The 17311-nt window shown below is 36.8% G+C and overlaps 1 protein-coding gene and 1 pseudogene across 17 annotated transcripts in view, besides 1 other annotated feature; one reads left to right on the top strand and one right to left on the bottom strand.

Annotated features, from left to right (window-relative positions):
* DMD (dystrophin) overlaps positions 1-17311 on the top strand; it is a 2220167-nt gene that overhangs the window by 292179 nt on the left and 1910677 nt on the right.
* TBCAP1 (tubulin folding cofactor A pseudogene 1) lies at positions 5312-5897 on the bottom strand (annotated as a pseudogene).
* Positions 5404-5904: an enhancer, noted in NCBI's record as "H3K4me1 hESC enhancer chrX:33059423-33059923 (GRCh37/hg19 assembly coordinates)". NCBI's record gives its function as "activates a minimal SCP1, AML or CMV promoter by ChIP-STARR-seq in primed H9 embryonic stem cells {active_cell/tissue: H9 hESC(primed)}" and the evidence as "EXISTENCE:reporter gene assay evidence [ECO:0000049][PMID:30033119]".

Here is a 17311-nt window from a genome sequence, read left to right as displayed (position 1 = left end):
TTCAGCACCTGCTATTGGGTTAATAATGGAGTTAGAGAAGCATGAGTTTCAATTTGTGCTCATCTACTGCAAAGTAGCTATATGAACTTGGGCAGTTACTTAACCTCGCTAAGCTTTGTTTCCTATCCATACAATAGGGTCAAGAGAAGTACCTCTCTTACAAGGTCTGTGAAAATGAAGTATGTTCATGTGTTTAAAGTGTTTAGTAGGTGGCACATAGTAAGCACTCAAATTATATGGACTATGGCCATTACCTTGACAAACTATATTCTCTCTCCATTTCCTCATATGTAATGTGGATTAACACGAAGATTAAACTTAAAAAGTGCATAAAAATCTCAGTGTCTAGCAATTTGTAGATGTTCAACATTATTAAAATTCCCTCCTCAATTTTGCTTACTTTGCTGTACTGAATGCTATGTGAGATAGGAAAGGATATCAATTATTTGCTATGCCCCTTCCGGGCACTAAATAAATACATGTTTTTGTTCATTCTTTTACTCAATCTAAAAGTTATTGAGCACCAAATAGGCATCAGGAAGTATATGGACAAGTATAGGAAACAGGATTGATATTTACAATCAGGAGAACAATTTTGAGCCCCCAGTCAGTCACTTGATGTTATCCTGGGCAATCAATGGATAGAGTCCAACCACTCTAAGCCTCAGTTTTCTTATTTCTACATGTTGATAGTATTAATAGTTGTTATAAGATTTGAAACCTGTTATGGACTATAGTATTTTGTGCAGACATTAGTCAAAATCATAAATTATTTTGGGGAGCACATTTACATTCCTCACAGTGAAGCCTTGGGCCCTACACCTTTGCACTAAATTATACATCTGTAGCAGGAAAAAAAAATTTCAGTATCACACAAATTTAAGTGGGCTAAAAATGGTATTTTATTAATTTTTCTATAGCTAAATTAAATTTCTATTTTGGTTCCTCTTTTAATTTAACAGGTTTCTTAATATACCATTCTCAGGAAATCTTAATAAAATTCAGTGACTTTTCAGGTCTACCGGTCACATTCAGGAGTTGTTAGGACTCTAGCCTCCACTCTAGGATTGGAATAACACAGGAGTATTACTTAGCTTCATGGCATCAGGGCCAACTTCTGATTCTAGGTCAAGGACACACAGAGATGTGACATCCAATGTGGTCTGTGGGGAAGAAGATCTTTGCATGCAGGCATTGGCTGAAGTGAACCAGTACCTGCATCCCGCCCTTAGTTGAACTGCCTATTCTGCCTCCAGGATTTGGGGTGTCTGTGTCCTGATTACCACACCCTTGAAAGACTGCCAGCTTGCTCCTCCTAACTTCCATGACCTTCTCAAGCACCGACACATGTTAGCTGCTTATCACAAACCTGATGAGATGCTCAGACCCCTGTGAGGCTAATCTACATGCCCAGTCCCTTTGCTCTGGTTGGGCACTATTTTTCAGCAGCTCCAGAACCTCCTTCTCTTCTTTAGGACTTTGGTTCCCTAAGAGGACATTATAATGTTCCTCTTATTTGAAAAGGTGTGTGTGTGTGTGTCAGAGGGTCAGGACCCTCCCCACACCCCCACACGGCTTCTAGCTCTCACTTATCTGTAACTCTCTCAACTTCCCCCTCTTCTTCTCTTGGTAGGCACCTAGAGCAGGTAAAAACTTTTAAACAGGATTCTTCTATATCTGTTTATGCCAGAATCATGGTTCACTTACACTAAAAGCAGTTGACCTCTGTCAGTGAAATCAAGAGTTGATTTTGTAATTCAAGAGCTCTGTATTTATAAACAACCCTAAGGCAGTGAGGAAACAGTGCCTAACTTACCTTACTTGCAAAGGATGGAACTTAAGAATGTGGTTACAATCTCACGAAATACTTGTGTGTGTGTGTGTGTGTGTGTGTACGCACCTGTGTGTGTGTAGTTCTGAAGATGGCATTGTTAGGTGGTGGAGGCCTATAATATTATGATTCTCAACATGTGAATTGTTATCACAGGCAACTAATCCTATTGCCTCAGGTTTACAATCTGTAAATGGGAAATAAAATGCCTAATGTTTGTTCTCAGCCTAGTTGTGAGGATTAAATGCAAAATACAGCCTCAACAAATGTGAGTTCCCTTCCTCACATTCCCTTGTAAAAAAAGGACTTTCCCCACCCCCCTTTTATTTAGCATATCAACAATTACTCCTTTATTTGGGACTGAACAGCCTTTTACTAACTATCCTTTTGTTTCTCATTTTTTATATTCATGCATAGTACAACTTATGAAATATTTTACCCCAAATCCTCTTGGGTCTGCTTTATATGCATAACCAAATAAGGCATATTTTTATACAACTATTGTGTTTTATCTTAAGGTAAATTTCAAGCTAAAGTGAAAAATGAATTCCTTCTGGTATTCAGGCAGAATTTTCCTTACGAGAAGTAGGTCAAGAAACATTGAACGCAGAATAAATTTATCTCTGAATACGGCTCTTCAGCTCTGGATTGTTTAAGGATGGCCTAGAATCTACGCTGAGCATTCTCTTGCATCTCCTTTTTCAGTATGGTTCTGAATTAGCACTCGGGCATAAAGCATTTCCTTGGAATTGCTCTTATTTTTGTCCCCATATTCTGCACTCCATCGTCAGGTAAGAAGGCAATATGTAGCAGTCATTTAAGAAACCAGCACATAAATTATTTCCGAAGTTAAATCAATGTGCATCTTACTGGTTCAGTTCACAGTTAACTAGAACTGCTGGGGCTTGCTTTTATGAATTGTCCCATTCCCTCCTTGCTTTCTTTTTGAGACTGACTCTTGCTCTGTCACCCAGGCTGGAGTACAGTGGTGCGATCTCAGCTCACTGCAACCTCCTCCTCCCGGGTTCAAGTGATTCTCCTGCCTAAGCCTCCCTAGTAGCTGGGATTACAGGCATGCACCACCACGCCCGGCTAATTTTTGTATTTTTAGTAGAGACGGGGTTTCACCACGTTGGCCAGGCTGGTCTTGAACTCCTGACCTCAAGTGATCCACCTGCCTCGGCTTCCCAAAGTACTGGGATTACAGGCATGAGCCACTGCGCCTGGGCTCTCTCTTTTAAACAATCATAAATATGAAATTAAATGGGCTGACTGGAAGCAAATTGGTCTGTAGGAACGCCCATGAAAGTGTTCCATTCTGATTGTTTTCCCATCCTGCAGCCCCTCTGGCCTAGTGGAAGCTCCTTTCGTTTTGCAGATTTAGATTAACTGGGGTAGGTGAGAGAGGGCAGGGATGGCAGGCCATTTGTCTCTCATCACCGACTGAAAAGTTGAGCCTAATATATACCTTTTGCTCCTCTACCCAAATGAATTACAAAATTCTAATTCCCTCACACACCGGGGCCTGTTGTGGGGTGGGGGGAGGGGGGAGGGATAGCATTAGGAGATATACCTAATGTTAAATGACGAGTTAATGGGTGCAGCACACCAACATGGCACATGTATACATATGTAATAAACCTGCACGTTGTGCACATGTACCCTAAAACCTAAAGTATAATAATAAAAAAAAGAGTTGATTGTTTTTATAATCTAAAAGTAAAGACAGTTTGGTTTTGTCAAAACTTCTTTGTTTTCTATTTATTTTCTCTATAGCTTCTAAATTTGTGTTCTGCTTGTGCATGCGTGTATGCTTGCATGCATATGTGTGTGTGTTTTCCTTAAAGAGTAGGCAAAAAAGGGCAGAAAATAGATCATTCCCTTATAAACCTGACAAGTACCTGTTTGTTTCTTTCACTGTGGTAACTGGAAGGCTGGAAATACTGAGCACTTCAGTAGTCATTCTAAAAAGATTGGTTCATGTTTAATTTGTTTGACTGCCCAAACCTCTAATGGTTCAGTGAAACCTTCGTGAGGATTTTAAGAAATAGATCAGGTGATAGTTTCAGTTGAAGCTACTAAAAAAAGCCTTTTTGTTCATATTATTTTATTAGAGTGGGAAATTGGGAATTCTAAAATGTTCCCACATTTGTCACCCGTGTTACTCTGGCAGCCTTTTGTCATGTTCACATTTTCCCTGTTCGTTTGTTACTGCTGCTGAATGTACTTTAATGATTCTAATAGGAGCTATAGATTGTGCAGAAGAATAACAAGCTTCAAATTAAAAAAGAATATATTTGCATTTTGTGGCTTCTAAATATTAATACAATTGAATTGTTTTTGTTGACCACTGTACATTGACTTCCCAGGGTCCGGTGCATAGCAAATTCATAGATGCTCCATAAAATAATTATAGAACCATGCATTCGTGTGTGCTGTGTTGTGGTTCTGGGTACTAAGGATGTCTGCCTGAGTCCTGAATGAGTCTTAATCTCCATCCAAGTTGTGTGTTTCAGAGTTGGGATGGTGCAAGGAATTTGATTATTAATGTAAACTTTAGATAACTCATAGCATGAATAACAACTGTACAGTAGAAGAAAAATGCAGAAAGAATAAAAAACACAAACAACAGCTAAAACAACAACACATAAAAAACCTCAAATAATTAGAGCAACAGGCTGTGAATGCATTTAGCAAACATATACCCTTCACTTACTTTTGGGAATCCAGTAACTTTCTCCTCTGAGTTCAATGAAAAATCAGTAGCACTTACGGGTGTGATCATTAACTTTGTTTACTTTTTTAGCTTTCAATGACATTCACGTTTGTGTTGAGATTTGTTTTTTCTTTCCTGAACATTTTATCCCATTCGCCAATCCAGAAATGATAGAATAGGAAAAGAACAACTAGGGCTTTATGCAAGTACAGTAAAATCTATTGATGCCCCTCTACAAAAGGCTGCAAATTGGAATGGCTGAAATCATCTGCTCGTCTTTTGTGTTGCATTTTAGGACTATCAATGAAACTTGAAATGATATATTAATAGAAAGTTTGAACAGGAATTATATATTGAAAATGTGACAGAATGGGTAGATCCAATCATCCTAGGCTGTTGAGAAGGGAATATGCCTCACAGTCTTGTACTTTTTAGATGAAGCCTTCCAATTTACCTGGCAGCCCACCTCATGGCTCAGTGTTTAGTCATATAGCAGAGGTTGTTACAATTACAAAAGTTCTCTTTTTTTTCCATGGAAAATTGATCATTTGGAGCAGTAGATTAATTTATTTCAATTTTAAAGTATGAGAGGCATAGAGGTACATTAAAAAGAACAAAGACTTTGTAGTCAGAGACATCTAAGAGTTGTGTAAACCTGAGCACATAAGTAGCATTTTCTTATCTATATGATGGGATGGGGTTGGGGTAAGAATATATATCATATAGGCAGTTACAAATATAAACCACACATCACGTATGGATTTTTTTTTTAGATGAACTCATTTATTTGACATATTAAATTAGACAAAGAAATATATATGTAACCAGATAAAAACAATCACATTCTCATACTACTTGAACACACCGCAGTGGTCAAAAATAATGGATTGTAAAATGGACCCCAGGATTTAATGCAAAAACCACCCCATACGAGAAAAGTTTCAGGCTTCTAACTTCACTGAATCCAGTACTAAACGTGCTTCTTTATATTCCTCAGCTTCTTCCAAGTCTTTTTCACTTTCTAATATCTGTTGAAGATCCAAATATGCGGCTTCCAACCTGCGCTGGCAATCTGGGATCATCATCCGGGATTCTTGTAGGATCTCTGCCTGCTTTTTGATGTCATAATTTTCACCATCTTCAGCTCTCATTTTTTCAATCTTTTCTTCTTGTTGTTTTGCCTCTTTTTCATACATCACTTTTTATTTGACCAACCGCTTCACCACACCGGTCTTGATCTTGATCTGTCTCACGCGAGGATCGGCCATGGTCCCTCGAGCCCCGCGAGAAGGAGGGGCGGAAAGCCGGGGTAACCGTGGAGGGCGACGCGCAGAGGCGGTAGCTATTTAGGCTTGGTCGCCGGCGCGCATGCGCAGGCTGCGCGGCCACTTAAGGAGTTTTTATAATAAATCATTATAGTGTCATACCTTCCATCAAAGGATTGAGTACTCAGGTGTGAACATTGGTAAACAATTTTTCCAATATTAACATCTGTAGTATTTTAAATTATGTGTCATTTTAAGGTACTGTTATTCTCTTTGTAATTTAACATTTTTTATAATAGAAATAATTTTGCAATTGCTACATTAACATTTTGAGTTGATTATTGCTTATTGTTAGCAATTCCATTGCATCATTTTACAGATTCCATCACTGTGCTGAAACATCCCATCTGTTTGTGAAAGTTTTGGATGTTTTCTTTAGTATCTAGATGAATCTATTCCTTATCTTATCAGTCAGAGATATTTTAAAGTCCTTGTCTGTTAGTTCAAGCATATAGGTTATCTCTTAGTCTGGTTATGTTGATGGCTTTACTTCTTGATAATGGGTGTATTTTGCTTAGTTTTATTTATTTTTTGCAAGTCTCATTTTCTTTTTAGTGAATGTTAGATGTCATGTATAGAAGAAAAATAGAGAATGAGGTAAATATGTTTAATCTTGGAAATAGGTATAGCTTTTTTTCTGTCATACTGCTAGTATGGGGTTTGAGTCAGTGGTGTTAGTATTGAGCTGGTTTGGAGGGGCGGGGGTTGTTGTTGCTGTAGCAACCTTCAGAACACTACAGTCTTCAAAGACCTCCACTGATGGGCTGCTGCTATCCCGTGCTTAATGTAATAGTGTCTGCGGTCCTAAAGGGATTTCTATCTTCTTGTTCCATCCTCAGTTTTCAGCAAGCCTTATATGCCTGTCTCTCCCCTAGTGGTAACAGATCATTCTGTTTTTATTGGTGCAGAATCCTGGGCCAAAGAGGTTATCATACTGCTCTTCCAAAGAGGGTATCTTGACCCTCTCTCAGTGGCTTCTACCTTCCCCAACCCCTCTGAACAGGCGGGTCCCATGGGTGGTAGAGTTTAGTATCTTTCCTTCAGTTTAGTATCTTTCCTTAAATCTTACGCCTTTTAGAAGAGGAGGGTCTGGAAAATGGGTTTGACTTCATGTTTGTGTGTCACTGAGGGGAGCTTCTTCCTATCTCTTGTCCTACGCCTTACTTTTTTGCAAGTTCCCAATAGAAGTTTGTGGAAAAGAATTCCAGAATGAGTGCAGACTCCTTCGGTCTGCATTTCCAAGGATGCTGAAATGTCATACCAGCCCACACCTGACTTTTAAGAATGCCTTACAATTGGAGCTATTTTCTTTTTCCTGCTCCTACGATGACTACTTCTTCCTCCAGTTCCCTGCCAAAGGTAAACCTTTCATGTATCCAGTCTCTCCTTGGAGGAGATTGAAGTACTTTGGCTCACCTCGTTGCCTTGTGGCCACAGCTATATAAATGGCTCAAAAAATAATACGTTTTTATAGATCACCCTGCTTTTTCTCATTGGGTGGAGCAACGTTCTTATATAGCATTTTTACATCCTAAGCAGAAGAGGAACTTGATTATGATGGAAAGCGTAAGTATTTTACCCTCTTGGGATATCCACATTCGACATGTTAATCATTACAGTTACCCTTACTTTAGATGGAAACAATGAATAATACTTATTTTTATTAGAGAAAGGCCGTAGTAGATAAGTGATATTTTAAAAATTGAATTTAATAAAAATGTATTGAGGACCTGTTATCTGTGAATCACCCAATGGGAAAAGTCATGAAAAGCTGAAGAAAACACTTCATTGTATTTCAGAGCTTTTAATTTAAAGGTGAAGAAAAAAGGTGACTCAAAAGCATTTTGTATATTCAGAATCCATTTGTGAAACCTAATTTGTGATGTTGAAACTGAGATTTGGCACACTGTCCAAAATTGCATTCAAAAGTGTAGAACCTGCTGTCCTGGCCTTTTTGTTTTGTTTGTTTGTTTGGTGGGGTGGGGTGGGGTGGGCGTAGGAAGGAAAAAGAAAAGATAAGGAGTGTGGTATTGACTGATAGTTTATTCTCAAGTGCAGTCACCAGGGAGTTCGAACTGACTTCTACTTTTGAAGTTGAAACATGGAAGCAGGGCTCCAAAATTTTGTATCTCATTGAAGTAACTTAGAATACTCACACTTTTATGAATGATTGAGATACTTCCTAAAAATTTAAACCATGATATCTCCAACAACGGAAAAGAGGGAATATGAAACCCCCATAGGCTACGGGTGTCAATCAAAATAGTCTTCGGAGAAATGAAATGTTTTCTTCATTTACTATAAAATTGAAGAAAAAATTTCATTTTTCTTTTTTTTCTTTTTTGAGACGAAGCCTCGCTCTGTCACCCAGGCTGGAGTGCAGTGACGCGATCTTGGCTCACTGCAACTTCTGCCTCCTGGGTTCATGCGATTCTCCTGCCTGAGACTTGCGAGTAGCTGGGATTACAGGTGCATGCCACCATGCCCGGCTAATTTTTGTGTTTTTTAGTAGAGACGGGGTTTCGCCATGTTGGCCAAGCTGGTCTCGAACTCCTGACCTCAAGTGATTCACCCACCTCAGCTCCTAGAGTGCTGGGATTACAGATGTGAGTCACCGTGCCCAGCCAAAAGGTTCATTTCTCAAGTTTTACAAAACTTTTCAGTCAAAATTCACATATCTACTGTCACATAATTCATACTCAATTACATTCCTTCAAAAATGCTCTCACACAAAGTTTGAACACATCGAGGCAGGTGGTTTGAAACATCCATCCCAAAGTTGAGCTGGGAGTCAAGGTGACAAGAATGGCCCATGAGCAGTGAGATGTCTACCAATGCCGGGCTCCGGGGCAAACAACTAACATTAAGTGCAAAGGATTAAACTTGTTAATTAGGAGAAAATAAAAGCAGGCATTTGCTTATTTTATTATTGAGTTTATATTAATAGTAATCACTTCCATTCATATTAGATGCAAAGGAACTTTTAATATTCTATGCACTGACTTAAACTTATTTCTTAATCCCTTTCATCTCCTTATAATGATGCATATGAGATTATTGGAGGTTTGGAGGTATGCACTAATGCAAAGTGATGAGCTGTAACCAAAAAGTAACCAAGAAAATAAAATCACAATTTCATGCATGTATTTATATTTGTCTTCTATGGCAAACCATGGGGATATTGAAATATGAAATTTCAAATACCCTCTTTATTATGTTAGATGCATTATTTTTAACAATAGAAGCCTTAAATAAAATATTAAGATACATTTGTATTTTGACACTTAACTGCCCTTGGCATTGTGCATTTAAACTTTTGGTGTCTAGCAAAGTTAAAGGGAGACTGTCTTTAAATACATATATATTGATAGTGCCATTTTGTTAGACATGTCATCTTTCGAATGTAATGATATTGTTCACACATTGATTTTATTGATGATGTTAAATCAAAATGGTTTCTGCAATTAGTAACTTCTATAAAACAAACATATTAAAAGGAAATCATACTTCCTATTGTAGTATACCAATTTATTTTTCCATTTAGGAATAGCTATGCTCCCTCTCATGTTTTGTTTTGTATACCTTACTAAATTAAATATTCATTTTATTCTTTACCAGTTTCCATCACAGACACAATCAGTATTATTTAAATTTCAGCAAGAAACTAAACAAGACTTACAAGTTTTTCAGTGCTAATGATTTTTTTTTCTCATTAAGTCTGAGTCTAATGAAACTAAACAGAAAGTTCTGGTTGGATTCCTTGGTCACCCCTATCTGTGTTTGTGAATTCCTATAATTGGCATGAATTGAAAGTTCTTGTTATCACTGATAGTAACCCAGAGACAATTCCAATTTGGGTTTAAATGGCCCTATGCAGACAAGGGTAACTGAACAAACCAAAACAGCTTCATGTGTTTATGGCAGATAAATACCAATTAAGTACTAGAAATGACATCAGGGTTTTTTTTTTTTCCTGTATAGTTTCAAGTTAAGAGACTTTTTCTCCCTTGAGTTTGCAGATATAGAGCATCATGACCTTACAAGAGGAAGGAGAGCAACTTCCCATCTGAATGAGAGATGGAAAAATTATATGAAATAGAACTAATTCTACTGTTAAGCAGTAAACTACTTATTACTTGAGTATTAATTAGGACACTTGGCTACAAATAACTTATACCAAATTTGAACTATCTTTATCAAATGTGGAATTTATTCCAAAGGATACGTTTATTCTAAGGATTAAAATGTTTCTCAAGGCAGGTTAGGGCAAATTGCAGTACACCTCAGAAAATGCAATCAAAACCTTCCAGGACTCTCTGTCACATCTCCTTCTCTCTAAACTATCTTTTTTATTGCAGATTGGCTTCCGCTGTTCCTCATGTAGCAGACCATGATTGCCAACATTCCCTTATATTTATATCTCGCAGTTGAAGGATTCAGGGAGAGCCTGATTCTAAGACCCAAGTCTAAATTCTTTAAATACATACGTATGTATGTGTATATGTATATGTATGTATATATATATATACACACACATGCATTCATGTTTAGATAGACATACACAGACATATATGTGAATTACATTGAATTACATATGAATTACATTTCTATTTAATGTATTCAATGTAGGTTACAATGCAACGTTATAGACCTTTTCATCCATTACAGGTAGGAATGTGGTTTAATATGGAATTTTTGAGAAGTAATTTGAAAATATGTACCAAAACTTACGGAGATGATTTTTCACCTAAATCCATTATAATTTTTGAGACTCTTTTCTAAGGTAATAATCCCACATTTGGGTGGAGGCTTTATCTATATTGATAGTAATTGCAAGACTATTTTAATAGCAAAAATTATGAGACCATTTTTCAAGGTTCCAAAAAAAAGCAGAACGGTAATTTTTATGGGAACAAAGAAGACAATGCTTCTAGATATTTAAATTGTGTTTGAACAACATTGGAAAACCTGTTATTTTAAATGAAGAAAGTAAGGTGTCTAACTACTTGTGCAATGCAATTACAATTATGCAAGGAAAATGCAAAGGAAATATATCAAACTTTAAATCCTAAAGCTTTTAATACTCACTTTTTCTCTAGTTTCTAAAATTTGGCTAATAAACATAAATTTAATTTATAAATTAATTGACCTTGGCATTGTATAAACATCAGGGTAAATAATGCATCTGTCTCTCTGTCTCTCTCTCGCTCTCTTTATTCAACTTTATCCTAAAGCATCATACTAATTACAATCTATTGGTTTTAGTTTGACTCCTCAGCTAGGTTACTCAAACAATGAAAGACTACTTTTAATCTCTGAAGATGTTTCTTTATCTTGAATTTTGATTTCCTAATCAATGAATACTTGTCTAAATTTAGTATTAAGTTCACACACATCTTTTCTCTTTTTTGGATTACTTTGCCAATCAATAATGTTCCTCTTTTAGCGGTTACTGGTTATTTCTACTGATCTCTGCTGAGAGTTTATTCTCAGACACTTTCATACCACGCTTTGAAAATACTGGTTTCCAAGCTGTGAATTCACTGTATCTATGCAGAAAGGAGTGATTTGTTTCTTGTATGGCATGATGTTTTTTATATCCTGTGAAAACCATCAATTCCACATTTGAGTGGTTCCTTCATGACATGGGCTGCTCTAACTAAAGAAAAATGTGCATTAAAAATATGTGTCCGATTAAGGCATTAAAATATCTTAAGCAGTCAGGTAGCAAACAAATCTTTCTGAGTTCCAATTACTGTATTACATTATGTCAATACTTACTGTCAAAGTACATTACAGAAAAAGGCTGGGCTCTTTTCAGAAAGGGCATTGCAATATAATGGGTGACAAGAAACTGCATCTGTGTATATGGAAGCACAAGAAACTAACAACAACAAAAAAATAGTGCCCAATCCTAGGTGGCTGAAGAGTAATATCTAAGAGAATATGAAGAAAACCCATTATTTATTCCCTAGGCCAGATAAGGAGCCCTGGCTTTCTCTGGCATAGCTGCAGTGTATATAATTATACCTCTTTCAGTGCCAATTACTGTGTGTATATCCATAAAAAGAATGGTACAATGGTGACAGAGATGAAGAGCAGATCTCTTAAATAAACATGTAAAAAAAAGCAAAGTAAAGAAAAATAATAAAAACAGGTCTATTGCTGTTAATGCCACTGTTCCAGAAAAAAGTAAAACAGAGATCATTAATATCCATAAGAGCCAGAATAATGTCTATATTTTTCATCCAACATTTTTCAAACCATGGAGCCCTTTTAGAATCTGCTGATGACTGTGGACTCTCATATATACACACTCATAAAATTTTGCCCACAATTTTAGGGGTTTATTCCATAGTCGTATTGAAAGCCCATAGATTTCAGGATAGGAATAACAATGTTGATTACTCATTTGGGGCCAGACACTTTCTATGCCATATAAAGATAATGGCTTATTTAGTCCTCACAACGACACTATGAGATAGTTATTATTTTAGTACCTATTTTACAGATGAGAAAACTAAAGGAAAGAAAAGTTATGTAAATAAATTGAGAAAACTCAGCCAGTAAGCGGCAAAACTGGACTTTAAATCCAGGCCGTATGATTCCAGAGCATACTCCAACAAGGACTGTAAACTGCATCCTGCAGAAACAAATAAACAAACAAAAACCTAGAATAAAGAAGCAGATGATAGAGTTTTAGAACTGGCGGAACACATAGAAATTATCTTTTCCAAATTCTATGTTTTAAAGTTGAGGAAATTGTATTCCACATAATTAAATGATTAACAGAAGCCCATAGAGCAAGTTAGTGTTAGAGCCAGGGTTCAAGTGGGAACATTCATCCAAAGCTCATGACAAAGCTACACCGATATTATTATCATTATTCTACAGGTGAGGAAACAGAGGCACACTGTTAATAAGTAGCAGAACTACCTTTCGAACCCAGATAGGCAGGTTCAAAGCTAAAACTACCATATTACTGTAATTCAGGAAAGCCATTCCCTTTATAATTCGTTTAGTAGGCGCTCGGAATGATCAAATCTTTAAATTAGAAAATTCGAATGTCTTCAATTTACAAACTTTGGAAATTCTGGAGATTCTACTTTACAATCATTTTAATGTTCTCTAATCAAAAACTAATGTTTTCAGTGTGCTACAATTCATGAATTTTATATTCATATCAGAATATAAAATTATACACATGCATATATGAACTTTATATGTTATATATGTATGAAGCTTATGTATGTATATAACAATATGTATATGAACACAACCTGAATACATATGTATATATAGATAACCATTCAAACATTTTAAATTGGCTATAGAGGAAAGCAATTTGCCATTTGACTTAAAGTCTTTTGTAATGACTAGAATTTAAAATAAAGTTTACAATTTATGAAGATGAAATAAAACTATACTTAAAATGCTGTTTTTCGAAACAGAAAATTCCCTTAAAACCTCAAAATCTATTGTTTGTTTTATATAATAAAAATCCAAATTTTTTCTACAATGTCTAAATCTTTTGTAATTCTGTTATATTTTCCTCTACAAGTTCAACTCAGTGATACCTAAGTGCAAACAATAAGGCTAGTATGAGAGCTTTTTTTTTTTGAGACGGAGTCTCGCTCTGTCGCCCAGGCTGGAGTGCAGTGGCGCGATCTCGGCTCACTGCAAGCTCCGCCTCCCGGGTTCAGCCATTCTCCTGTCTCAGCCTCCCAAGTAGCTGAGACTACAGGTGCCCGCCACCACGCCCGGCTAGTTTTTTTTTTTTTTTGTATTTTTAGTAGAGACGGGGTTTCACCGTGTTTGCCAGGAGGGTCTCGATCTCCTGACCTTGTGATCCGCCCACCTCGGCCTCCCAAAGTGCCGGGATTACAGGCGTGAGCCACCGCGCCTGGCCAAAAGTTACTTAATTTGCATGCCAACCTACACTCACATCTATTAAATGATTAGTCAATCAAGATATAGACAAAACTCATCTATTGGCAATGTACACTGAGGGACGTGTTCTCGGTGTAGTCCTGTCACCGATCTTAGTACAGAAATAAATACCTTTTTTAATCCAGTGGCATAATAAACCTGAGAAAAGAGAAGTCTTTCATTAAGAATCTTGGAAGAAGCAGTCGTTAACCACTTGTCATCAGTATTAGCAACTCAAGCTGAATAAAAATTGATTGTGTGACTCTGGACCTTCTTTGCTCTGCCACTTGGATAATCTATTAGCATTGGCACCTGATTAACTCTCAAAACTGTCTCCTCTTTTGATTAGCTCCCAGGATTTCTTTTGTATTCTCAGTAATAATTTTCCAAACCCTTTTCTAAAAGACTGACTCTAATGTTCTTTTACTGACTGCAAAGTTTCCCGTCAGTGCTGAAAACATGTTTGGCCTTCATTCCTATTTATAATTTTTGGCTTGATCTTTCATAAACACTGGCTTAAGACTTCCGTATTTGGTGAACAGGGAGTGAATGATTACTCCGAAACTTTATTTCTGTTTTAAGTGCTTTCAGTATTTGGCACAAGGTGGAAATGAGCAGGCTCAGTACTGACCATTGCTATTACAATAACTCACTGCATTTCCTTAAAACTTATTTTCCACTTAAATTGTTTTCTACATTGATTTCTGTCTGTGCTAATACTTGGCCATGTATGAGAACAACCTGCTTGTTTTAATGTTTAAATTTTGAATGGTATGGTAAGGAGAAAGACCAAGATTTAAAAGATAATATATTCTGAAAGGGCAATTTTTGGAAAGCTTTTAATACTTCATTTAAAACCCATTCTTCAGCTTATTTTAAATTTAATGATGGAATACAACCCTCTCTTTTTTAAATGAAGAGGTTATATACATTCCATCATTATTGAATTTTATTCTATGGGCCACATTTACTATTTACCTGCTATATTAGTCAGCTTTATTATAGGCTAATGCTCTGTAAAAAACAAATCCAAATCTCAATGACTTATAAGAACAAACATTTATTTCTTATTCACATGTCAGGTTCAATTTTGTATTGAGTACAGGTCAGCTCTATGCATCTCTCCTTTTAGGAACAGAGGCTACCTGAGGCGTGTACTTCCCCTGACAAAGGGAGGAAGGACCAAGAAAAGTGAAAACACTTTATGATTCTTAAGCCCCTAGCTCAGAATTGACACACTCTCATATCTGACTGTGTTCCACTGGTCAAGGCAAGTCACATGACCAAGGCCACATCAGTGAGTGGGATGTGTAATCCACCCATGGTGAACCATGGCAAGTGGAAAGGAGGAAGAAAAAGAAACCGATGAGCAAATAATGTAAACTACCAACTTGTTCAAGAAGTTCTAATGCAATTAAATATATAGTCAGGAATAATAATACTGATCTCTATTGGCACTTACTTTGTACTAAGTCTTTGCTTAAGACTACTTTCGATGCTTTACAGGATACCTCATCAAAGTGAAGCTAAGAGTTTTTTTACCACGATTATTTCCTCTTTTCAGACTGGAAATCTTGGGTTTGGTGTGGCTTATGAGTCTTTTCTTTCTTTGTTTTGTTTGTTTGTTTGTTTGTTTTTGAGATGGAGTCTTGAACTCCTGTCGGGGCTGGAGTGCAGTGGCATGATCTTGGCTCACTGCAACCTCAGCCTCCCAGGTTCAAGTGATTCTCCTGCGTCAGCCTCCCAAGTAGCTGGGATTTCAGGTGTCCGCCACCACGCCCGGCTAATCTTTTTATTTTTAGTAGAGACGGGGCTTCACTGCGTTGATCAGGCTGGTCTCGAACTCCTGACCTCATGCTGCGTCCACCTGGGCCTCCCAAAGTGCTGGGATTACAGACATGAGAGACTGCACCCGGCCTATGAGTCTTTTCTAACACTGCATAACTAGTGCATGATCAAGCCAAGAAATGTGGGCCCAAATTCCACTACAGAGAGCAGACAATAACGATGCTCCTATGGGCCATTCTGGATTACATATCCCATGCAACAATTGAGGAGCCCTACAGGGCATGCTTAGCAATTGTTCCATTGTTTTTTTTTTTTTTTGTCCTTTTTAATACATAGACTTCTGTCCCTCGTTTATTGAGGGTTGCCCCTGGGAGAACTAAATCTCTATCACTTCTGGACTGCCCTGCAAATGGGCTTACCAAGCCCTCCTAAACTGAAGAAAGCCTTAACACAAAGAAACAGAGAGATGTGGATGCTTGTGGTGAGGAATCTTCAGCATCCACAGAATCCGTTCACTATAGTTATAGGTGAACTCAGGGATGGCTCGGTGAAATAAGGGATGAGGCATTATCCTCATCTACTATGCCATTTTATTAACCTTTACTCCATAGTGTAAGTTGAGTAAATACATCTTGTGATTTAAATATCCCCTTATAATCCAGGCCCTGTGTTTGACCATTTGTCTGTTTCTAAAGCATCTCATTAACAGTATGTTTGGAAATGGCTGTTGTGTGTCGTGCACATTTGGCTGTTTGCTTTCCTTTTGGTTTGCAAAGAAGTATTTTGCAACCCATAAAAATAGATAAATATACACCACAGAACAATGTATTTTTTTAAATTTTCAGGGGAGAATTTGAATCTTTTAAAAGTAATATTGAGTAGGCAGCTGTATGGAAACAGGCATCTAGTTAGCAGTTCTGCTACAATATCCAAGTAGTTAATTTCACCTCTAAATTACACTGGAGACCTTGACCTTATTTTGATTTATTCTGTCATAATTAGTCTATGGTTATTACTTTAACAAAAATAAGTCATCTTTCTCATGAACACTACCAAAGCACATTTCAAGTCTGCATACTAATTAATAGTAACTTATTTTTACTCCTAACAAGTCTACACCCACATACTCATGTTTAAACAAGATGAGATATTTGAAATCACTTTATAAATTATAATGCACCACAGAAATATCCATTATTTCCATTATTACTAAAAACTTACTTCATTCTTTTGAGCATGAGGAGGTATAATTTATGTGAATATCATTTCATATTTTGTTTTTATCTTTCAAATCGAGAAGACTTGAATTTTTTGCATATTTACAAATACTATAAAAATCCTACTAATTATTAACATGGCTGCCACGTAGCAATCGTGTCTATTTTATGAAATAATGTCATTTATACAGAAGACCCACGGGAAGTTGTAATATATTTGGAAGTAAAGATTTATAGGTTTTGTCTATTTTTTTCTCTTTCTCAGCATTAATATGTCATACATGTGTCACATTTAGTCTTCACAATTCAGTATCTTTATTACTATTACCATGAAACAAATAGAGGCAATGAGACACAGAGAGGTTAAGTAACTTACTCAAGGCCACAGAGATAATGAGATGTGAAACTGGAGTTGGAACTCAGGTTATTTGACTCTGAAATGAGTGTATGATGTAACCCCGGCCTGCATTGTATCTAACACATGCAATTTTAAGAGGATAAGAAT

Source organism: Homo sapiens, chromosome X (assembly GCF_000001405.40).
Source record: "Homo sapiens chromosome X, GRCh38.p14 Primary Assembly".
Lineage (NCBI taxonomy): Eukaryota > Metazoa > Chordata > Mammalia > Primates > Hominidae > Homo > Homo sapiens.
This window is presented reverse-complemented; position numbering and strand designations above follow the sequence as displayed.